At 44.6% G+C, this 24,238-nt stretch overlaps 1 protein-coding gene across 2 annotated transcripts, besides 3 other annotated features; it reads left to right on the top strand.

Moving 5' to 3' along the window:
- Window positions 13,802–14,009: a silencer, noted in NCBI's record as "fragment chr1:145432616-145432823 (GRCh37/hg19 assembly coordinates)". NCBI's record gives its function as "represses an EF-1alpha promoter that drives an FKBP-Casp9 reporter gene in an ReSE screen in HepG2 liver carcinoma cells and K562 erythroleukemia cells {active_cell/tissue: HepG2 | K562}" and the evidence as "EXISTENCE:reporter gene assay evidence [ECO:0000049][PMID:32094911]".
- Window positions 19,660–23,804, top strand: TXNIP (thioredoxin interacting protein). Of its 2 annotated transcripts, NM_006472.6 has the most exons (8): window positions 19,660–20,222; window positions 20,763–20,835; window positions 20,948–21,095; window positions 21,208–21,310; window positions 21,439–21,695; window positions 21,802–21,958; window positions 22,072–22,223; window positions 22,353–23,804. In NM_006472.6, exons 1-8 carry the CDS (start codon window positions 19,973–19,975, stop codon window positions 22,386–22,388), a joined length of 1,176 nt encoding a protein of 391 aa, NP_006463.3. In that variant the 5' UTR covers window positions 19,660–19,972; the 3' UTR covers window positions 22,389–23,804. The 2 variants fall into 2 exon arrangements, with proteins under 2 accessions (NP_006463.3, NP_001300901.1); NM_001313972.2 differs by lacking the exon at window positions 19,660–20,222 and having other exon boundaries at window positions 20,495–20,835.
- Window positions 21,581–21,630: an enhancer, noted in NCBI's record as "active region_1628". NCBI's record gives its function as "activates an Ori minimal core promoter by ATAC-STARR-seq in GM12878 lymphoblastoid cells {active_cell/tissue: GM12878}" and the evidence as "EXISTENCE:reporter gene assay evidence [ECO:0000049][PMID:35858748]".
- Window positions 23,452–23,531: an enhancer, noted in NCBI's record as "active region_1627". NCBI's record gives its function as "activates an Ori minimal core promoter by ATAC-STARR-seq in GM12878 lymphoblastoid cells {active_cell/tissue: GM12878}" and the evidence as "EXISTENCE:reporter gene assay evidence [ECO:0000049][PMID:35858748]".
- Window positions 23,805–24,238: the final 434 nt, after the last annotated feature.

Here is a 24,238-nt window from a genome sequence, read left to right as displayed (position 1 = left end):
GAATCTAGTTTGTAGAAGAAAGACTGAGAAGAAATGCTGTTCTAGATGAGGGTGCTCTAAAGTAACAATGCTGCTCTGAACAAAATTATGAAGGAGGTAACTTTTACATTTAATATCTTCCCTGTTTCTGGTCTCATCCTCCCCTCTCAGGTACTCCATAACCGAGGACCTGTCCTCCCTGCCCTAATCAAGTACTCACCATTATCTTCCACCTCTCCTCTCAGTCCCTGACACCCGACAATACTCCCCTGAACAAATATTACAGTAGGGCCCTTTGTATCTACTAATTCTGCATCCACAGATTCAACCAACCACGCACTGAAAATATTTGGGAAGTAGCCGAGCGCAGTGGCTCACACCTGTAATCCCAGCACTTTGGGAGGCTGAGGCGGGTGGATCACAAGGTCAGGAGTTTGAGACCAGCCTGACCAACATGGTGAAACCCCATCTCTACTAAAAATACAAAAAATTAGCCAGGTGTGCTGGTGGGAGCCTGTAGTCCCAGCTATTCGGGAAGCTGAGGCAGGAGAATGGCGTGAACCCCGGAGGCGGAGCTTGCCGTGAGCGGAGATCGCGCCACTGCACTCCAGCCTGGGCGACAGAGCGAGACTCCGTCTCAAAAAAAAAAAAAAAAAAAAGTAAATAAGGCTAGCTCTAAGCCCGCGCGAAGGAAGAGTATTACATGACAGGTGTCATCAAAGAATTTCACTTACCACTTGGCTGTGAAATTCTTTTTTTTTTTTTTTTTTTTTTGAGACGGAGTCTCGCTCTGTCGCCCAGGCTGGAGTGCAGTGGCGCAATCTCGCAATCTCGGCTCACTGCAAGCTCCGCCTCCCGGGTTCAGGCCATTCTCCTGCCTGAGCGTCCCGAGTAGCTGGGACTACAGGCGCCCGCCACCACGCCCAGCTAATTTTTTTGTATTTTTAGTAGAGACGGGGTTTCACCGTGTTGGCCAGGATGGTCTCGATCTCCTGACCTCGTGATTCGCCCGCCTCGGCCTCCCAAAGTGCTGGGATTACAGGCGTGCGCCACCGCGCCCAGCCGAAATTCTTCTCAATTCACTTGAAATTCCCACACCTGAGGGATAAAGTTACTCTTTTAAGAGAACCAATACAAAGAGTATTTCTTCAAAAGGATGTTTTGAGTTAAAATACCTATATTTTCTGTGAAGTGAAGAGACAGCCCTGGATATGTCTCTTCCCCCAATTTTTTTTTCTTCATTACAACACATTATTTTCTCCATTAGCTAAAGGTTACTTTGGAAAGCATAGAGACAGTGCTTTGAGGGAATGGCAGAATGGCTGTGGTCCTTAAAAGAGGTGGAGAGGAGGGAATAGAGGATAAAGAATTGCAGGAGAAATTTGAAATGGCAGACCAGATACGTCTCGAACTCCTGGCCTCAAGTGATCTGCTCGCCTCAGCCTCCCAAAATGCTGGGATTATAGGCATGAGCCACCATGCCCAGCCCAACTAGCCCTATTATTAATGGAGCATTTTTAAATAGGTAGCTCAAAATAAGCATATGAAAAGATGCTCAACATCATTAGTCACTGGGGAAATACAAATCAAATGAAAACAACAATGAAAAAATACTACATACCCACTAGAATGGTTAAAATGGAAAAGACTGTTAAATAAAATACAAAATGTTAGGAAAATGTGGAGCTTTCATGTGCTGTTGGTGGGAATGTAAAATGGTACAACTACTTTGTAAAACAGTTTGGCAGTTCGTTAAAAGGTAAGTGTACACTTACCATACAAACCAGACATTCCAAACTTAGGTACTGACCCAAGAGAAATGATAACATGTGCTGCACAAAAACTTATATACAAATGCTTATAACAGTTTTATCTGTAATAACCAAAAACTGGAAACAACTCAATGTTGAAATGGTGAATGGATACACCAACTGCAGTAAATTCACATAATTGAATACACAGCAATAAAATGAAATTAATTCCTGATATACACAACATGGATAAATCTCAAAGTAATTATGCAAGTGAAAAAAGCTGTTGCCCCGCAAAAAAAAAAAAAGAGTATATACCATCTGCTTCCATTCATATCAAATTATTAAAAATCTTCAGCAGATCATGGACTGTAAAAATATATAAAATGTTAGCAAACATATAGTGAGAAAAGGTGATCAATGGTTGCTTAAGGAATGGGCAGAGTGAAGGAGGGATGGCTTACAAAGGGGCATGAAGTAGGCCGGATGCGGTGGCTCACACCAGCAATCCCAGCATTTTGGGAGGCTTAGGAGGGTGGATAACTTGAAGCCAGGGGTTTGAGACCAGCCTGGCCAACATGGCAGAACCCTGTCTCTAATAAAAAGCCCTGTCTCTACTAAAAACCCTGTCTCCACTAAAAACCCTGTCTCCACTAAAATGCCCTGTCTCTACTGGGTGTGGTAGCATGAGCCTGAAATCCCAGTTACTCAGGAGGCTGAGGCACAAGAATCGCTTGAACCCAGGAGGTGGAGGTTGCACAAAGCCGACATCACGTGACTGCACTCCAGCCTACGCGATACAGCAAGACTCTGTCTCAAAACAACCCAAAGGGGCATGACGAAACTCATGGGGGTGATAGATATGTTCATCATTTTGATTGTGACAGTGGTTTCATGGATATATATATATATTTGTATATGTCAAAACCCATGAAATGACACACCTTAAATATGTACAATTTATCATACACCAAGTATACGTCAATAAAGCTGTAGTTTTTTTTTTTTTTAATTGAGTAGCACATCTTTCTCTCTTTTCTTGGTAGATCAGACAAAAGGCTTAGAATGACCATAGCATGACAAGGAAGATTACAACAGAGACTTTTCTTCTTCTAGGAAACATACAAAAGAAGAGGATAACAGAACAAAGGAAAGACCTTATTTAGTGATTTTATATTCTCCGCTACTCCTATGACAAGGACCACATTCCTTCCTCCAGAATGTCATTCTCAAAGTCAGAGACCACAGAAAGGAGATTTTCCGATTTAAGAACATCAACCCTGTGAATCATAATTCTGTCTTTCCACTTCACCAAGAGTCAGCAGGTGGTGCTAGTGACTAAAAAGTGACTTGGCAGACAATGAGGCAAGTTTCCAGGAAAAGAAAAATTATCGTCTAAGATTATCTGATATGTTGACCATTTGAAAGAAAATATTAATAGGCATTTGCCAGAATTGACATTTAGGAAATAAACTGAAGATAGGTACATAGTAAACAAAGTAAAATTTTAAATAAATTATAATTTAACAATAAAGGGTTGTTCAAGACATGAAACAATCAATATATACTACTTGGCTCCTCAATGGATATCATTTACACAGTAATACTAATGTAAACACTGACTATTGATTCAGCCAGAACTATGCTATAACTTTCTATTGGGAGGATGAGGTAAGGGGAAAGGAAAGGTGGGAATATAGCATGATGTAAGAGTTAAAATTTCAATTACTATAACCATAAGAGAGTAGATATGTCTAATATTTATTTTGTTTCCTTTTTTTTTTTTTTTTTTGAGACAAGAGTCTCTCACTGTTGCCCAGGCTGGAGTGCAGTGGCGCAATCTCAGCTCACTGCAACCTCTGCATCCCGGGTTCAAGCGATTCTCCTGCCTCAGCCTCCCAAGTAGCTGCGACTACAGGCATGCACCACCAGGCCCGTCTACTTTTTGTATTTTTAGTAGAGATGGGTTTCACCATGTTGGTCAGGCTGGTCTCAAACTCCTGACCTCAAGAGATCCATCCACCTCAGCCTCTCAAAATATATATGTAATGTTAGCACATATATAGTGAGAAAAGGAGCTCAATGGTTGCTTAAGGGATGGGCAGAGAGGAGGAGGGATGGCTTACAAAGGGGTATGAAGCAGGCTCTGTCGCTCTCGCTGTATCGCCAGACTGGAGTGCAGTGGCCCAATCTCAGCTCACTCTATCCTCCATCTCCCGGGTTCAAACAATTCTCATGCCTCAGCCTCCCAAGTAGCTGGGATTACAGGCGTGAGCCACCACACCCAGCCTAGTTGTATTTTTATATTTTCAACACCTAGTCTGGCACATGATCTGTAAATGTTTTTAATAAGGAAAATAGTCCAGGCACGGTGGTTTACGCCTGTAATCCCAGCACTTTGGGAGGCCAAGGCTGGCGGATCACCTGAGGCCAGGAGTTCAAGACCAGCCTGGCCAACATGGGAACCCCATCTCCACTAAAAATACAAAAATTAGCCCAGCGTGGTGGCGTGGGCCTGTAGTCCCAGCTATTTGGAAGGCTGAGGCAGGAGAATCACTTGAACCCAGGAGGTGGAGGTTGCAGTGAGCTGAGATTGCGCCACTGCACTCCAGTTTGGGTAACAGGGCAAGACTCTCTCTCAAAAAAAAAAAAAAAAAAGAAAGAAAGAAAAGAAATATGAAGTGCATACCAGATGAAAAAGCTGAAAGAGGCAGGGTGCAGTGGCTCATGCCTGTAATCCTAGGCATGGATTTAAGAGGCCTAGGTAGATGGATCCCTTGAGCCCAGGAGTTCAAGACCAGCCTGGGCAACACAGCAAAACCCTGTCTCTACAAAATATATAAAAATTAGCTGGGCATGGTGGTATGTGCCTGTAGTCCCAGATACTTGGGAGGCTAAGGCAGGAGGTACACCTGAGCCCAGAAAGTCAAGGCTGCAGTGAGCCATGATCATGCCACTGCACTCTGGCCTGGGTGATAGAGTGAGATCCTGTCTCAAAAACAAGGGGGCGGGGGCCGGGTGTGGTGGTTCATGCTTATAATCCCAGCCCTTTGAGAGGCCAAGTGGGGGGAAGATCACTTGGGCCAGGAGTTCAAGACCAGCTGGCCTACATGGTGAAACCTCATCTCTACTAAAAATACAAAAATTAGCCAGACGTGGTGGTGTGGGCCTGTAATCCCAGCTATTTGGGTAGCTGAGGCAGGAGAATTGCTTGAAGCTAGGAGGTGGAGGTTGCAGTGAGCCGAGATCGCACCACTGCACTCCAGCCTGGGGCTGAGATTGCCCCACTGCACTCCAGCCTGGGTGACGGAGTGAGATCCTGTCTCAACAAAAAAAAAAAAAAAGAAAGAAAAAGAAAAAGGGGCTTGGGCTTGAGGACTGCTGTTTTTTGTAAAATCATTTAATATCATGTGATTTTTAACTACATGTTACATTACATTGATTAAAAAGAGGAGCATTTGGCTGGGCGCAGTGGCTCATGCCTGTAATCCTAGCACTTTGGGAGGCTGAGGTGGGAGGATCACCTGAGGTCACGAGTTCAAGATCAGCCCGGTAAACATGGTGAAACCCCGTCCCTACTAAAAATACAAAAATTAGCTGGGCATGGTGGTGCATGCCTGTAATCCCAGCTACTTGGGAGGCTGAGGCAGGAGAATCGCTTGAACCCAGGAGTCCGAGGTTGCAGTGAGCTGAGATTGTGCCACTGCAGTCCAGCCTGGAGACACAGTGAGACTCCCTCTCAAAAGAAAACCCAAAAAACAAAAAGAGGAGCATTTCTGGGCAGGTGCAGTGGCTCACGCCTATAATCCCAGCATTTTGGGAGGCCAAGGCGGGTGGATCACTTGAAGTCTGAAGTTTGAGAGCAGCCGCGGACATGGCAAAACCTGACTCTACTGAAAATACAAAAATTAGCCGGGTGTGGTGGCTGGCACCTATAATCCCAGCGGCTTGAGAGACTTAAGCAGGAGAATCACTTGAACCGGGGAGGCGGAGATTGCAGTGAGCCAACATCATGCCACTGCACTCCAGCCTGGGCAACAGAGTGAGACTTCATTCCCCACCCTCAAAAAAAAAAGGGAGCATTTCCACCTTGGCCTGAGCTTTTTCCCCTTAACTTTGTGGCCATCTCAACCACTTCTCAGATCAAACAAACACCTCCCTCCCTACTATACTCCACCCTATGTACTTCATGGCAAGTTCCTTCCCACATTTCTTCTCAAGGAAACAGATAGTAGCCATGGCCCAGTAATTATAGTTTTCAAAATCAGTGCCAGGAAACCATACCAGCACTAAGGAAGGGAAAGAAGACATAAAACTAGGAAATAAAAGGCCTTCCTCAATTTTTCTGTGTACTCCCAAACCAAATTACTAATCATTTTTCCAACAATTAACAGAAGAAATAAGTTACATATGTTTCCTCAGATAAAAGTTATATAAGTGGAGGGTGGGCTTTGAGAAACTGAAAAAGAAAAACCAGGAAGAATAACTAGATTCTACCTCCAATACAGGGCGATTTTGGAATCATTCTTTGCTATTGGTTCAAAGAACTAATTTTTTTTTTTTTTTTTGAGACAGGTTCTCACTTCATCACCCAGGCTGGAGTGCAGTGGCTCAATATTAGCTCACTGCAGCCTTGACCTCCTAGATTCAAGCAATCCTCCTGTCTCAGCCCCCTAAGTAGCTGAGACTACTGTGCTAGCCACCACTCCCATCTAATTTTTTGTTTTTTGTATTTTTTTGTATAGATGGGTTTTCGCCATGTTGCCCAAGCTGGTCTCGAACTCCTGGGTTCAAGCAACCCACCTACCTTGGCCTCCCAAAATGCAATGATTACAGCCTTGAGCCACCACACCTGGCACAGAACCAACATTTTTAATATTAAGCGTTTCACATAGTCAGTCTTTGATACAACACTTCTACCTTTGAGAAACTAAGTCATATTTTCAAAAAAGTAGGCTGGCTGGGAGCGGTGTCTCATGCCTGTAATCCCAGCACTTTGGGAGGCCAAGGTAGGAGGACTGCTTGAGCCCGGGAGTTTGATACCAGCCTGGGCAACATGGTGAGACCCCCGTCTCTACAAAAAAAATAAAAATTAGCTGGCTGTTGTGGCATGTGCCTATAGTTCCAGCTACCTGGGAGGCCGAGGTGGGAGGATCAGTTGAGCCCAGGAGGTTGGGGCTGCAGTGAGCTATGATCGCACTACTGCACTCCAACCTGGGTGACAGAGCAAGACCCTGTCTCAATAAAAGAATTAAAAATAAATTAAAGGCCAGGCGCAGTGGCCCATACGTGTAATCCCAGCACTTTGGGAGGCTGAGGTGGGCGAATTGCTTCAGCTCAAGAGTTCAAGACCAGCCTGGGCAATATGGCAAAACCCCTTCTCTACGAAAAATACAAAAAATTAGCCGGGAGTGGTGGTGTGTGCCTGTGGTCCCAGCTACTCGGGAGGCTAAGTTGGAAGGATTGCTTGAGCCCAGGAGGTCAGGAGGTCGAGGCTGCAGTGAGCTGAGATTGCACCACTGCACTCCAGCCTGGGTAACAGAGTGAAATACTGTCTCAAAAAATAAATAGGTAAAAATTTAAAAATTAATTAATTAAAAATGAAAAATAAATGTAGAAATCAGAGAAAGCTTTACAAAGGAGATGACTTTTTTTTTTTTTTTTTTTTTGAGACAGAGTCTTGCTCTATCACCCAGGCTGGAGTGCAGTAGCACAATCTTGGCTCACTGCAACCTCTGCCTTCCGGGTTCAAGTGATTCTCCTGCCTCAGCCTCCCGAGTAGCTGGGATTACAGGCACCCACAATCATGCCCGGCTAATTTTTGTATTTTCAGTTGAGACGAGGTTTCACCATGTTGGCCAGGTTGGTCTTGAACTCCTGACCTCAGGTGATCTGCCCGCCTCAGCCTCCCAAAGTGCTGGAATTACAGGTGTGAGCCACCACACTTGGACAATCTTGGACTTAAAAAAAATCTTTTTTTTAAGGCTCAGGGACTCACTAGGAATTTTGTCCTAGCTGTGTGATCATAGGCAAGTCATTTGAGTTCTCTGAATCACAATATTCTCTTCTGCAAAATGTCTTCCTGCTTACCTGGTGAGAATCAAATGTTTGTGCAACTGCGTTATAATGCATATATATAGATATATAGATGACAAAATATAATTAACAAAGAAAGTACTGGCCGGGCATGGTGGCTCACACCTGTAATCCCAGCACTTTGGGAGGCCAAGGTGGGCAGATCACCCGAGGTCAGGAGTTCAAGACCAGCCTGACCAACATGGAGAAACCCTGTCTCTACTAAAAATACAAAATAAGCCAGGCGTGGCGGCGCATGCCTGTAATCCCAGCTACTTGGGAGGCTGAGGCAGGAGAATCGCTTGAACCTGGGAGGTGGAGGTTGCGGTGAGCCGAGATCGCCCCATTGCACTCCAGCCTGGACGACAAGAGCAAAACTCCATCTCAAAAAAAAGAAAGTACTGATCTGGCACAGTGGCTCATGCCTGTCATCCCAACACTTTGGAAGGTCGAGGTAGGAGGATCACTAGAGCCCAAGAGTTAGAGACCAGACTGGGCAACATAGCAAGACCCCCATATCTACAAAAAACTTAAAATTAACTAGGCATGGTGGTAGTCCCAGTTCCTCAGGAGGCTGAGGCCGAGGGTTGCTTGAGCCCAAGAGTCAGAGACTGCAGTGAACTGATCGCACGACAGCACTCCAGCCTGGGCAAGAGAGAGGCCCATCTCTTAAAAAAATTAATTCATTTTTTCAAAAGGCATTGATGGATCTAGAAAAATAAATAAATGTTTTAAAATTTTTTCTTAGAAAAGAAAGTATTATTAATTGTCAGTCTGGATAAAAAAATAGAAACTTGTTTTAATGTAGAATTTCTTTCCCTCAGTCATGAACACCACATTTCCTTCATTTGTTCCTTCTCATAATCAAAAATCATCTTTGCCACTCAGGGGAGTGATCTGGGCTGTTTTGGCTCTCAGAAAAGCTTTTATTTGTTTGAGACAATTCTTGGACTAAGAATTTTGACAGTATATTAAACTGCCCACTAGGTGGCAGAGCTGAGTCAACTGTATTTCTGAATTGTGTAAGAAATAATTTCTCAGAAAAGGGGAAGTTGGGTTGAGCACACAATGTCCCATCTCCCTCATACTTATAAACACCAACGCAGTCCAATTTTCTTCTCACAGAAAAACAAACCACCACCTCTCGCCTCCTTACCGTCCCTGCTCTGATACATATTTGGGCCACAGGCTTTGAGGAGGGACAAATATGATACAGTTTAGCATAAGAAACTGAGGTTGAGGTGTCAAGTCTAATAGTAATAAGAAATAATACTAGGATCTGAATTACTGGTATATTCTATCCAGAGACATAACCCAATCTATCAATTCAATCAATCTATCTCTATATGTATGTGTGTGTCTGTGTGTGTGTGTGTGTGTGTGTGTGTGTATATATATATATATATATATATTTTTTTTTTTTTTTTTTTTTTGACATGGCAATTCAAGCCATCCTCCCACCTCAGCCTTCCGAGGAGCTGGGACTACAGGCGTGCACCATCACACACAGCTAATTTTTTTTATTTTTAGTAGAGACAGGGTTTCCCCATGTTGCCCAGGCTGGTCTCGAAGTTGTGAGCTCAAGTGATCCGCCTGCCTCAGCCTCCCAAAATGCTGGGATTACAGGCGTGAGCCACTGCACCTGGCCTCAATTTATATTTAATAATACATTTATTCTGTGAAGTGTACTCTAATAGATGCTAGGAAGAATACAAAGATAAAAAAGGGCAGAGTTTCTATTCTCTAGGAATTTAGGAGAGAAAAGGCACTTTACGTGTTAGTGCTATGTAAGAAATATGAATGTGCTATGGAGTATTCCAAAGAGAATGAAAAAATATTTGATTGTAAGGTAAAAGATGAGGGGATTGGCTGGGCATGGTGGCTCATACCTATAATCCCAGCACTTTGAGAAGCTGAGGCGGGTGGATCGCTTGAGCTCAGGAGTTCAAGACCAGCCTAGGCTACATGGTGAAACCCTGTCTCTACAAGTTTTTTTTTCTTTTCTTTCTTTTTTAAGTTAGCCGGGTGTGGTTGCATGCCCCTGTAGTCCCAGCTACTCGGGAGGCTGAGGTGGGAGGATTGTTTGAACCTGGGAGATCGAGGCTACAGTGAGCCATGATAGCACCACTGTACTCCAGCCTGGGTAACAGAGTGAGACTCTATCTAAAAAAAAAAAAAAAGTTGAGGGGATTGGGAAGCAAGAAATGTTTTTGGTTTTGCTTTGTTGCTTTGAGATAGAGTCTCACCCTGTCACCCAGGCTGGAGTGCAGCAGCATGATCTCAGCTCACTGCAACCTCCACCTCCGGGGTTCAAGCAATTCTCCTGCTTCAGCCTCCCGAGTAGCTGGGATTACAGGCACCTGCCAACCATGTCCTGCTAATTTTTGTATTTTTAGTAGAGATGGGGTTTCACCGTGTTGGCCAGGCTGGTCTCAAACTCCTGACCTCAGGTGATCCACCCACCTCGGCCTCTCAAAGTGCTGGGATTACAGGCGTGAGCCACTGCGCCCAGCCAAGAAAGGTTTAATAGAGGAAAAATTATTTGGCTGTCTACAGAAGAGTGGGTAAAATTTCAAAAAGCAGAGATGGGGAAGGACAGGCACACTAGGTACAAGGAAAAATGTAAGCAGGGACATAAAGACAGAGAAGGATATATTAAGGGAACACTGAGTGCTCAGTTTTGGCTGAAGCATAGGGTACATGTATGAGGAAATAGTGGGAAATGAATGAGAAAATTTGGTTGAGGACATTTCGTGAAGGCTTAAATGCCAGGTTGAAGCATTTAAACGTGATTCAGTAAGCAATACATTTTGCATTATTATAGGAACACACAGGAACTCAATTCTGTGAGATTAATCTAGTGATGTTCTATAGATTACAGCAGGAAAATCAGTTAAAATCTATTAAAGTAATCTAGGCAAAAGTAACAAAAACATGAACCAGAATGGTGGCAGTAGAATAAGAAACAGGAGACAGGTGCTAGAAACACTAGAAAGATGGCTCTATAGAATTCAGCAGTTGACTGGATGTGGGGCATGACAGAGAGGAAGGAATTAAAGGCAATCCCTGGATTTTAAGCCTTTATAACTTGGGGAATATATAATGGTTCTATTAAAACAAACAAGGGGGCTGGAGGCAGTGGCTCATATCTATGATACTAGCACTTTGGGAGGCCAAGGTGGAATGATCCCTTGAGCCCAGGAGTTTGAGACCAGCCTAGGCAACAAAATGAGATCCCATCTGTACCAAAAATTAAAGAATTAGCTGGGCATGGTGGCATATGCCTGTGGTCCTAGCTACTTGGGAGGCTGAGGCAGGAGGATCCCTTGAGAGCGGGAGTTCAAGATTGCAGTATGCTATGATCCCTGATCCCACCAGTGCAATCCAACCTGTGTGACAGAGCGAGACCTTGTCTCAAAAAGAAAGAAAGAAAAAGAGGGGAAAAAAAAAGGCCGGGCGCGGTGGCTCACGCCTGTAATCCCAGCACTTTGGGAGGCCGAGGCGGGCGGATCACCTAGGTCAGGAGTTTGAAACCAGCCTCAACATGGAGAAACCCAGTCTCTACTAAAAATACAAAATTAGCCGGGCGTGGTGCTGCATGCCTGTAATCCCAGCTACTTGGGAGGCTGAGGCAGGAGAATTGCTTGAACCTGGGAGGTGGAGGTTGCGGTGAGCTGAGATCACGCCATTGCACTCCAACCTGGGCAACAAGAGCGAAACTCCGTCTCAAAAAAAAAAACAAGGCAAAGAAATGGGTTTGACCACCAGGGAAAGATTATGAATTCATTACTAGACAAGCTGAATTTGAGATAACAGCTGGAACTTTGGAGACAGGCTAAAGGTATAGCATAGATTTAAAGTCATTTACACAGAGTGATGTACAGACAGTCAAACTGAAAAGTGAAACTTCAAGAAAGAAAAGGAGAGGGCCCAGGACAAGCCCTTAAGAAGAATTTTCAGGGAGTAGAAAAAAAAAGAATTGTTAGCAAAGGAGAAAAGGATGAAGTCCAAAAGTCAAGATTTAAGTGTTTAAAATTTTAAAACATGGCAGTTTCCAAATCATATAGAAGTCAAAAGGAATAAAGCCTATAAAAAGTACTCTGACTGGCCGGGCGCAGTGGCTAATGCCTGTAATTCCAGCACTCTGGGAGGCCAAGGCAGGTGGATCGCCTGAGGTCAGGAGTTCCAGACCAGCCTGGCCAGCATGGTGAAACCCCATCTCTACTGAAAATACAAAAATTAGCCGGGCGTGGTGGCACGTGCCTGTAATCCCAGCTACTCAGGAAGCTGAGGCAGGAGAATTGCTTGAAGCCAGGAGGCGGAAGTTGCAGTGAGCCAAGATCGCGCCATTGCGCTCCAGCCTGGGCAACAGAGTGAGACCCTGTCTCAAAAAAAAAAAACACCCTACGTTGATTTTGCCAGGTATGGTGGCTCATGCCTGTAATCCCAGCACTTCGGGAGGTCGAGGTGGGCGGATCACTTGAGGTAAGGAGCTTAAGACGAGCCTGACCAACATGACGAAACCCGGTATCTATTAAAAATCAAAAATTAGCTGGGCGTGGTAGCACATGTCTGTAATCCCAGCTACTTGGGAGGCTGAGGCAGGAGAATTGCATGAACCCAGGAGGCAGAGGTTGCAGTGAGCCAAGATCGCACCAATGCACTCCAGCCTGGGTGACAGAGCAAGACTCCATTTCAAAAAAAAGGAAAAGAAAAGAAAAACTACTCCAATTTCCGCTGGAGACCTTGAAGAAAATAGTTTCAGAGAGACCAGAAGGCAGACTACAAAGGGACAAGTTCAGTCCACAGAAAAAGCTGATACAGATTATTCTCTTAAGAAATTTGACAGTAAAAGAAGAATACCGCCTGGGCACAGTGGCTCACGACTGTAATCTCAACACTTTGGGAGGCCAAAGTGGGTGGATCATTTAAGGCTAGGAGTTCGAGACCGGCTTGGCCAACATGGTGAAACCCCATCTCTACTAAAAATACAAAAATTAGTCGGGCTTGGTGATGGGCACCTGTAAACCCAGCTACTCGGGAGGCTGAGGCAGAAGAATCGCTTAAACCCAGGAGGCGGAGGCTGCAGTGAGCCGAGATCGAGCCACTGCACTCCAGCCTGGGTGACAGACTGAGACTGTCTCAAAAAAAAAATACTGTAATAACATGAGAAGGGAAATAAGATATTTTTATCACATATAAAGGCAACTTTAAGAACTATGGCCCAGCACAGTGGCTCACGCCTGTAATCCCAGCACTTTGGGAGGCCAAGGTGGGTGGATCACTTGAGGTCAGGCGTTCAAGACCAGCCTGGCCAATGCCTGTAATCCCAACTACTCTGGAGGCAGAGGAGAATCGTTTGAACCTGGGAGGCAGAGGTTGCAGTGAGCCAAGATCGTGCCATTGCACTCCAGCCTGAGTGAGACTCTATATAAAAAATAAATAGATAAAGCTGGGCATGGTGGCTCAAACCTGTAATCCCAGCATTTTGGGAGGCCAAGGCAGGTGGATCACCTGAGGTCAGAAGTTCAAGACCAGCCTGGCCAAAAAGGTGAAACCCCACCTCTACTAAAAATACAAAAAATTAGCTGGGCATGGTGGTGGGTGCCTATAATCCCAGCTACTAGGGAGGCTGAGACAGGTGAATCACTTGAACCTGGGAGGTGGAGGTTGCAGCGAGCCGAGATCACGCCACCGCACTCCAGCCTGGGTGACAGAGTAAGACCTTGTCTCAAAAGTAAATAGATAAGTAAATAAAGCTAATTACAAAAAAAAGAAAAGAAAAAGAACTACCTTTAGGAAGTTATTGTAAGGGCCTTCAGAAAAGAAAAAAAACTTTTTTAGGTTTTTTTTTTGTAGACGGAGTTTTGCTCTTGTTGCCCAGGCTGGAGTGCAATCTTGACTCACTGCAACCTCCACCTCCCAGGTTCAAGCTATTCTCTTGCCTCAGCCTCCTGAGTAACTGGGATTACAGGCATGCGCCACCACACCTGGCTAATTTTGTATTATTAGTAGAGACGGGGTTACTCCTTGTTGGTCAGGCTGGTCTCAAACTCCTGACCTCAGTTGATCTGCCTGCCTCGACCTCCCAAAATGCTGGGATTACAGGCGTGAGCCACCACGCCCAGCCAAAAAGAACTATCTTAAATGAGCCTACAATACCTCCAAACAAGTTAATTCAGCCCCTCTCCCCATCTTGCCATGACATTGGACAATACTGAGATCTCTATCCTTTGCTTATCATGGTAGAAAAATTGATCTCAGTAAACACGAAATGTGGGCCTCCAGATGAGATATTTTTAAAAGTTAAAACTAAATTAACAAACAAGATTGGACATGGTGGCTCATATCTATAATTCCAGCACTTTGGGAGGCCAAGGTGGGTGGATAGCTTGAGCCCAGGTGTTCCAGACCAGCCCAGGCAACATGGCAAGACTCCATCTCTACCAAAATATATGAAAATTAGCCCGGCATGTGCCTGTAGTCCCAGCTGACTCAAGAGGCCAAGGTGGAAGGATCACCTCAGCCCTGGAGGTTGAGGTTACAGTGAGACATGGTCATGTCACTGCACTCCAGCCTGGTGATGAAGTAAGACCCTTTCTCAAAAAAAAAAATTAGCTGAGTATGGTGTGTGTTCCTAGTAGTTCCCGCTACTGAGCTATGCTTGTGCCACTGTACTCCAGTCTGGGCAACAACAAAATAAACAAATAGATAATAAAGAGAATCCTGGGTTTGGAGAGTGGCTCCACCAGATACTAGCTTATGTCCCAGGTCAAGTCACTTAACCAAAATAAGAACTGGTTTTAAAAAAATAAAAGACTGCTACAGTCCCATTTAACTCTAAAATTCTCTGAGTCTTGCCCTGAATCCTTTATTAGACTATTGTGAGAATCAAACAAGATACTGTGTATCAAAGCACTGAGAGCCAAGACAACACATTTTTATAGTACATACTTTTAGACAGACATGGGCGGGTTCAAGATCTTGCTCTACTTACAAAATCTGTGACCTCAGGCAAATTACTTCACTTCTGAGCCTGACTGAACCAACACCGAGTCACAAGGTTATTGAGAGAATTAAATGAAACAATCTAACCTCAAATACTTTCTTTTTTTTTTTTTTTGAGACGGAGTCTCGCTCTGTCGCCCAGGCGGGAGTGCAGTGGCGCAATCTCGGCTCACTGCAAACTCCGCCTCCCGGGTTCACGCCATTCTCCTGCCTCAGCCTCCCGAGTAACTGGAACTACAGGCGCCCACCATCACGCCCGGCTAATTTTTTTTGTATTTTTAGTAGAGACGGGGTTTCACCGTGTTAGCCAGGATGGTCTCGATCTCCTGACCTCGTGATCCGCCCGCCTCGGCCTCCCAAAGTGCTGGGATTACAAGCGTGAGCCACCGCGCCCGGCCAACCTCAAATACTTTCTAGAACAACATGACAGATGACAGATAATTATCACTGACATAATTATATAAAAGACTTGGTTCATTATAGGTGCTCAATAAATGGCAATTACTTAAAAAGTCACTTGGAACTCTAACATGCTATACAATTCTTTTTTTTTTTTTGAGATGGAGTCTCACTTTGTCGCCCAGGCTGGAGTGCAGTGGCGAGATCTCGGCTCACTGCAAGCTCCACCTCCCAGGTTCACGCCATTCTCCTGCCTCAGCCTCCCGAGTAGCTGGGACTATAGGCGCCTGCCACCACACCCGGCTAATTTTTTGTATTTTTAGTAGAGACGGGGTTTCACTGTGTTAGCCAGGATGGTCTCAATCTCCTGACCTCGTGATTTGCCTGCCTCAGCCTCCCAAAGTGCTGGGATTACAGGCGTGAGCCACCGCGCCCAGCCTTTTTTTTTTTTTTTAAAGAGAGATGGGGTCTCACTACAATGCCCAGGGTGATCTTCTTGAATTCCTGGCCTCAAGTGATCTTCCCATTTCAGCCTCCCAAAGTGCTGGGATTACAGGCATGAGCCACCACACCTGGCTTACAATTGTTAATTTATTCTTATTGATCTATGACTTGGGGCAGTCTTCAAACTCTTAATTTGCCTCTAAATTCCTTAGGGAAAAAATTGAAAGGGAAAAGGGTGCCTATAATCCCAGCACTTTGGGAGGCCGAGGTAGGCGGACTGCTTGAGCAGGAGTTTGAGACCAGCCTGGCCAACATGGTGAAACCCCATCTCTACCAAAAATACAAAAATTACCTAGGCGTGGTGGAGCACATCTGTAGTCCCAGCTACTCGGGAGGCTGAGGTGGGAGAATCACTTGAGCCTGGGATGCGGAGGTTTCAGTGAGCCAAGTGACACTGCATTCCAACCTGGTTGAGAGTGAGACCCTATGTGGAAAAAAAAAGAGAGAGAGAAAGGAAAATGGGTAAGGGTAAAAGGGAAGTTTACAGAGTAGAGGTGAGAGAAGTGATTAAAAGGACCAAGAAAGGGCTTTGTTCTGCATTAAGAACTATGAGTCTTCATGTTCTAAATGTTTGTCAGGCCAGAGGTTAAAGAAAAGAGAAATGCAATCAGTGTCTTGTCTCTGACTGGCAACAAAGTGCTGAGGGCACTTCCCTCCCTGAAACTGCTGGCTTTATTCTGTCACCTGCAGTAAAGCAAACAAACAACAATCACCACTTGGTTTCCTGTTGGCACTGGGACTGAAGAGGGTAGAGAAGGGGCAGATAAAGATGATCCAACTTGCAAAACTCTTTGACTGTGCCCTACTTTGCTGTTCCTCCTTGGCCCACCCCTTTTCCCAAACCTCACAAGTGTTTTTATACCCTGATTTTAGGACAAGAGTTTACAAAATTTCTTTCTTCTTAGACCCAAGAACTGGGAAAGGAGAATCGGGGCAGGTTTTTATCAGAATACCAGGTTACAAGGTGAAAGGTCGTAAACAACCGTGTCCAGGAGGACTCCACTTCAGAACATGCCTTGGCTACAGGCCTGGTAGGCAGCAGCTGCTGCCAAAGCTAAATAATTTTTTGGCATTTAAAGGAACCCAGGCATAACACAGAGCAACGTAGTCTGTAGTGAGCTCTGCAAATGGGAAGATACAAGGAAACCAGAGCCCAGAAGAGAAACTTAGAACGAGAGAATTGTCATAGGATTTTTTAAAACTCAGCAATTCAGTACTTCAGAGATGTGCCCACATAAATATCAAATAAATTGAAAGGGAAAAGGGTGCCTATAATCCCAGCACTTTGGGAGGCCAGGTAGGCGGACTGCTTGAGCAGGAGTTTGAGACCAGCCTGGCCAACATGGTGAAACCCCATCTCTACCAAAAATACAAAAATTACCTAGGCGTGGTGGAGCACATCTGTAGTCCCGGCTACTCGGGAGGCTGAGGTGGGAGAATCACTTGAGCCTGGGATGTGGAGGTTTCAGTGAGCCAAGTGACACTGCATTCCAACCTGGTTGAGAGTTGGATGTCTTAAGATGTCCCATATTACCACCACCCTGATCCATCACTAGCCACCATCTTTCCTATTCCCTCAAAATGTATGTAGTTAAGATTTAACAATATTTAACAATATTGACTATGTAGTTAACAATATTGATTCATATATTTGTCAGCATTTTGATGTTTGATAGTTACACTTTCATACCCATCAAACTAAACGTTCTCCCAGAAGCCACAATTTTGAACTTTTAAAATTACTTCAGTCAGGCCAGGCACGGTGGCTCACGCCTGTAATCCCAGCACTTTGGGAGGCCAAGGCGGGTGGATCACCTGAGGTCAGGAGGAGTTCAAGACCATCTTGGGCAACATGGTGAAACCCCATCTCTACTAAAAATACAAAAATTAGCTGGGCGTGGTGATGCATGCCTGTAATGCCAGGTACTCAGGAGGCTGAGGCGGAGAATCGCTCTAACCCAGGAGGCAGAGGTTGCAGTGAGCTGGGGTCAGGCCACTGCACTCCAGCCTAGGCAACAGAGCAAGATTCCACCTTAAAAAAAAAATTACTTCAGTCAGAGTTCCACCTCCTCTGCTCCCAGTAACTCAATCAATATTGTTAACCAACTGAAAACACCTCAAGCCTAGCTGGTTAAGTTTCTAGAACAGGGTGCCGCCTCAAACACACCCTAAGGATCAACATGTTCCTGGGGTTTAATGCATGTGTGTGTTTTCGAAGAGACTCATGATGCCTATTCTTGAGCTTGCTTAATATTGGGGTTGAGTTGTAACTCTCGTTAGCCTTAGAGTGTCAATCCAGCTAGGCTGTCTGAGGAAGGAAGAAGGCTCTTTAACAGCAATGAATATTGTTTTTTTTTTGCTGATTGGGTAGGGTTTCAATATACTTGAATGCTTCTTAATTACCTCCCCATCTCAATCTTGGGACATTATCTTCCTCTTTCCAGCACAAGGAATTAAATAATAATCTTCTGATACCCCAGCACAGATATAGGAAGGGTCTATGAATCAAATAAAAGGAGGAAGAATCCCTGCACTTTTGCATACAGGTTTTTCCTATTACATTTAAGAGTAAGTTCTCAGTACTCAGCTCCTAAAGCATCTCACAGCCAGCAGGGGAAAATCCATCTGACAGCTGGCCAAACGAAACCAACAAAGAATGAAGAGAGAGGGTAGGGTCTCTTCTGGCTTGAATTTATAGTGCTCTGTTGACCGATCTTTCTTCTCTTTTCCTTCTTACTGTTTTCTAAACCGTTTAGGGAAAAACCTTTGAAAATAGTTTTTAAAATTGTTCCTTCAAACAGGTGTGTGGCCATCTCTCCACTGAAAATTTGGATATAAACAAGAGGACTTTCTCACTTTTAACCAGATTTATGGATGTACATTTGATTTAGTGAGTTGGAAGAGGGGATGGAGACAAGAAAGAGTGAACATAACTGGAAAAAAGTGAAAAGAGTGAAGCATCCTTTTTTTCCCGCTTTTCCTTTTCCTCCAGAAGCAGGTAGGAAGTGGGAGATAATGAGCGCCTGGACACACCTCACTAAAGAGGTAATGAGGTAAATGGGGAACACAGACAAAGTGTTCCCCAACTTTGCAGGTAGAAATTGAAGAGATGACAGGATAAGCAACAGGATGTAAACACGCCCCTCCTATTTCCGTTCCACAGAACAGAGAGAACAGAAGAGAGGGTACAAGCTGGGGGTGGGTGACGAACAGCACAGGCACGCAGCCCCCAGCCCTAGCCCCAAGGGATTGGAACGGGAAGGAGAAGACATCGGTCCTACACACACAATGAGGCCTGAAAGTTCTCCTTTCCCTCAGAGACGGTGGTGTTTTTTATACTTAATAGGGATGCGGGGCAAGAGAAGGACAAAGGGCTGTTCCTGAACAGTAACACCAAGCATTCTGCGCTCCACAGCCCCAAACCTGAAAGTATTCTTGGAGCTATGGGATTTTCACACACTTGCTATTTATGAGCCAGGAATAACGACAGGCTCTAAAGTAACTGCACTGGCTAAGACTAGGCATGAAATTCCCTCATAAGCACATTTTCCTTTTACCTCAAAACACCGCTCTCAGACCAGAAACGTCCACACCCGCCCTCCGATGGCCTGTCGCCCTGGCTAGGTTTTAGGGTCAGTGGGATCCTCCTTCCACTGGACCCGGGAGAAGACGCTCAACAGCCCCCTCCTTCCCCTCCTTCCTCTCCTTCCTCTCCTTCCCCCCTCCCTGCGCCGCTCCAGAGCGCAACAACCATTTTCCCAGCCAGGAGCACACCGTGTCCACGCGCCACAGCGATCTCACTGATTGGTCGGGCTCCTGGTAAACAAGGACCGGGCAGCCAATGGGAGGGATGTGCACGAGGGCAGCACGAGCCTCCGGGCCAGCGCTCGCGTGGCTCTTCTGGCCCGGGCTACTATATAGAGACGTTTCCGCCTCCTGCTTGAAACTAACCCCTCTTTTTCTCCAAAGGAGTGCTTGTGGAGATCGGATCTTTTCTCCAGCAATTGGGGGAAAGAAGGCTTTTTCTCTGAATTAGCTTAGTGTAACCAGCGGCGTATATTTTTTAGGCGCCTTTTCGAAAACCTAGTAGTTAATATTCATTTGTTTAAATCTTATTTTATTTTTAAGCTCAAACTGCTTAAGAATACCTTAATTCCTTAAAGTGAAATAATTTTTTGCAAAGGGGTTTCCTCGATTTGGAGCTTTTTTTTTCTTCCACCGTCATTTCTAACTCTTAAAACCAACTCAGTTCCATCATGGTGATGTTCAAGAAGATCAAGTCTTTTGAGGTGGTCTTTAACGACCCTGAAAAGGTGTACGGCAGTGGCGAGAAGGTGGCTGGCCGGGTGATAGTGGAGGTGTGTGAAGTTACTCGTGTCAAAGCCGTTAGGATCCTGGCTTGCGGAGTGGCTAAAGTGCTTTGGATGCAGGGATCCCAGCAGTGCAAACAGACTTCGGAGTACCTGCGCTATGAAGACACGCTTCTTCTGGAAGACCAGCCAACAGGTAAGCGGCCCAATTCATTGTTGGAGGGTGAAAGCTGATTAGAGAAGAGAATTGAATACACAAAACCTGTACGAAATGTTTTAAGTTGCTCAGTTTGAGTGGTTTGAATTACGTGTTGTTGCTTCCTTTTTTCTGTTTTAATTTGCAGACATTCTCCTCCCCCCCCAAAAAAAAGGGTGATTTGTACAATTTTTTATGGTGCTGTGTCCTAAAGGGGATCCTGAGGGGCGTTGCCTCGGGTAGTTAAAGTCTTATGTGTGCATAAGTTGCTTATTCTTTGTCTACTTCCTATTTGAGATGTTAGTAGAGAACTGTCCTGGGTGAATCTTTCAGTATTGCAGGGCTTGGCAACTTGCTGCCCGACAAAATACATCAGAATTTCTCTTTAAGAACAATATGGGATGGATTAAAAAATATATATATGGGATGAAATTGGGGGTACTTCAATACCTTGCATGCCACCCAAGCATTCCTTATCACACAGATGCATTTTAAGTGTAACAGCAAGCCTAATGGCTACTCGATTTTCTTTCCCTTCAGGTGAGAATGAGATGGTGATCATGAGACCTGGAAACAAATATGAGTACAAGTTCGGCTTTGAGCTTCCTCAGGGGTAAATATCAGCTAAATGCATCTTTGAACTTTTCTGTCTAAAATATCTTGCCCTCCTTTGATCACTTACTGTTCTTGGAGAGCGTTTTAAAATTTTCATTTTCTTGACACAGGCCTCTGGGAACATCCTTCAAAGGAAAATATGGGTGTGTAGACTACTGGGTGAAGGCTTTTCTTGACCGCCCGAGCCAGCCAACTCAAGAGACAAAGAAAAACTTTGAAGTAGTGGATCTGGTGGATGTCAATACCCCTGATTTAATGGTGAGATCCATTTTAAAGATTCTATTCTCCTGGGTCATGAGGATGATAAATCAGACGTCTTGGGCATTAGATTGAAGCATCTCAAAACACCTTTTTATCCCCTTCTATATAGGCACCTGTGTCTGCTAAAAAAGAAAAGAAAGTTTCCTGCATGTTCATTCCTGATGGGCGGGTGTCTGTCTCTGCTCGAATTGACAGAAAAGGATTCTGTGAAGGTAAAATCCTAGTGCTTATGGCAGTTAAAACAGGAACTGGGTTTAGGGGCAAGGGCATGGGACTGGGGTAGAGGAAGTGTCATTAACTATACTGAGTATCAGTAAGTTTTCATCTTTCTCATTGCTAGGTGATGAGATTTCCATCCATGCTGACTTTGAGAATACATGTTCCCGAATTGTGGTCCCCAAAGCTGCCATTGTGGCCCGCCACACTTACCTTGCCAATGGCCAGACCAAGGTGCTGACTCAGAAGTTGTCATCAGTCAGAGGCAATCATATTATCTCAGGGACATGCGCATCATGGCGTGGCAAGAGCCTTCGGGTTCAGAAGATCAGGCCTTCTATCCTGGGCTGCAACATCCTTCGAGTTGAATATTCCTTACTGGTGGGTAGATGCAGGGTGGCTTCAGCAGAGAAATTGTTCATCTGTTACCACAGCTGTCTTGTTTCTCCAGACCTCTGGTGTAATAAACTGCCATCTTCCTTTCTAGATCTATGTTAGCGTTCCTGGATCCAAGAAGGTCATCCTTGACCTGCCCCTGGTAATTGGCAGCAGATCAGGTCTAAGCAGCAGAACATCCAGCATGGCCAGCCGAACCAGCTCTGAGATGAGTTGGGTAGATCTGAACATCCCTGATACCCCAGAAGGTGAGCCAGACCTAATGTCTTTTCTTTGTTTCTGGTCTACCTGGGTTTGTAAAATTGTGATGGTCCAGCATTTCTTGGGCAGGATTCTTATGTGGCCATATTTTCTTTTCTAGCTCCTCCCTGCTATATGGATGTCATTCCTGAAGATCACCGATTGGAGAGCCCAACCACTCCTCTGCTAGATGACATGGATGGCTCTCAAGACAGCCCTATCTTTATGTATGCCCCTGAGTTCAAGTTCATGCCACCACCGACTTATACTGAGGTGAGGATTGTCATCTTTACTGTTAAATTTGTCCTAAGCTTTCTATAAGAAGTTGACTTAGACGGATTGCTAAACTGGTTTGTTCTTTTTGTTCTTACCTGAACTGAAATAGTCTGTTTCTTTCTTTAGGTGGATCCCTGCATCCTCAACAACAATGTGCAGTGAGCATGTGGAAGAAAAGAAGCAGCTTTACCTACTTGTTTCTTTTTGTCTCTCTTCCTGGACACTCACTTTTTCAGAGACTCAACAGTCTCTGCAATGGAGTGTGGGTCCACCTTAGCCTCTGACTTCCTAATGTAGGAGGTGGTCAGCAGGCAATCTCCTGGGCCTTAAAGGATGCGGACTCATCCTCAGCCAGCGCCCATGTTGTGATACAGGGGTGTTTGTTGGATGGGTTTAAAAATAACTAGAAAAACTCAGGCCCATCCATTTTCTCAGATCTCCTTGAAAATTGAGGCCTTTTCGATAGTTTCGGGTCAGGTAAAAATGGCCTCCTGGCGTAAGCTTTTCAAGGTTTTTTGGAGGCTTTTTGTAAATTGTGATAGGAACTTTGGACCTTGAACTTACGTATCATGTGGAGAAGAGCCAATTTAACAAACTAGGAAGATGAAAAGGGAAATTGTGGCCAAAACTTTGGGAAAAGGAGGTTCTTAAAATCAGTGTTTCCCCTTTGTGCACTTGTAGAAAAAAAAGAAAAACCTTCTAGAGCTGATTTGATGGACAATGGAGAGAGCTTTCCCTGTGATTATAAAAAAGGAAGCTAGCTGCTCTACGGTCATCTTTGCTTAGAGTATACTTTAACCTGGCTTTTAAAGCAGTAGTAACTGCCCCACCAAAGGTCTTAAAAGCCATTTTTGGAGCCTATTGCACTGTGTTCTCCTACTGCAAATATTTTCATATGGGAGGATGGTTTTCTCTTCATGTAAGTCCTTGGAATTGATTCTAAGGTGATGTTCTTAGCACTTTAATTCCTGTCAAATTTTTTGTTCTCCCCTTCTGCCATCTTAAATGTAAGCTGAAACTGGTCTACTGTGTCTCTAGGGTTAAGCCAAAAGACAAAAAAAATTTTACTACTTTTGAGATTGCCCCAATGTACAGAATTATATAATTCTAACGCTTAAATCATGTGAAAGGGTTGCTGCTGTCAGCCTTGCCCACTGTGACTTCAAACCCAAGGAGGAACTCTTGATCAAGATGCCCAACCCTGTGATCAGAACCTCCAAATACTGCCATGAGAAACTAGAGGGCAGGTCTTCATAAAAGCCCTTTGAACCCCCTTCCTGCCCTGTGTTAGGAGATAGGGATATTGGCCCCTCACTGCAGCTGCCAGCACTTGGTCAGTCACTCTCAGCCATAGCACTTTGTTCACTGTCCTGTGTCAGAGCACTGAGCTCCACCCTTTTCTGAGAGTTATTACAGCCAGAAAGTGTGGGCTGAAGATGGTTGGTTTCATGTTTTTGTATTATGTATCTTTTTGTATGGTAAAGACTATATTTTGTACTTAACCAGATATATTTTTACCCCAGATGGGGATATTCTTTGTAAAAAATGAAAATAAAGTTTTTTTAATGGAAAAAAAAATGTCTGTGAGATGGCTTTGGAAAAGTTTTTGGAAAGAAGGTGTGTCTAAAGGAGTTTTCCTCTACTTAACAATCCACACTAATGAAAACCTTGTGGAGAAAACACTCCCTATGGACCCTAAGGAATGTCGGCAGAGTGGGGGCTAGAAGGTGAAGAGGGAAACCGTTTGAGGCATGTTTCAGATTCACTGAACAACTATACTGGGATTTTCCGGTTGTCTAAACTAGTTTTCCAAATCCATAGGTAATCATTACTAAATTCCTTCAGTTTTGGAGTTCATGGGTTCTTGAAATACAGGGAGATGATGTTTATGAGGGCATTTGAAAGAAAAGAGTGGCGGTTCCTTTTTTTGAGACAGTCTCACTCACCCAGGCTGGAGTGTAGTATGATCTTAGCTCACTGCAGCCTTGATTTCCTGGGCTCAAGTGATCTTC

This window comes from Homo sapiens, chromosome 1 (assembly GCF_000001405.40).
Source record: "Homo sapiens chromosome 1, GRCh38.p14 Primary Assembly".
Lineage (NCBI taxonomy): Eukaryota > Metazoa > Chordata > Mammalia > Primates > Hominidae > Homo > Homo sapiens.
Note: the sequence above shows the minus strand (reverse complement) of the source record. Positions and strands in the feature narration are given on the sequence as shown.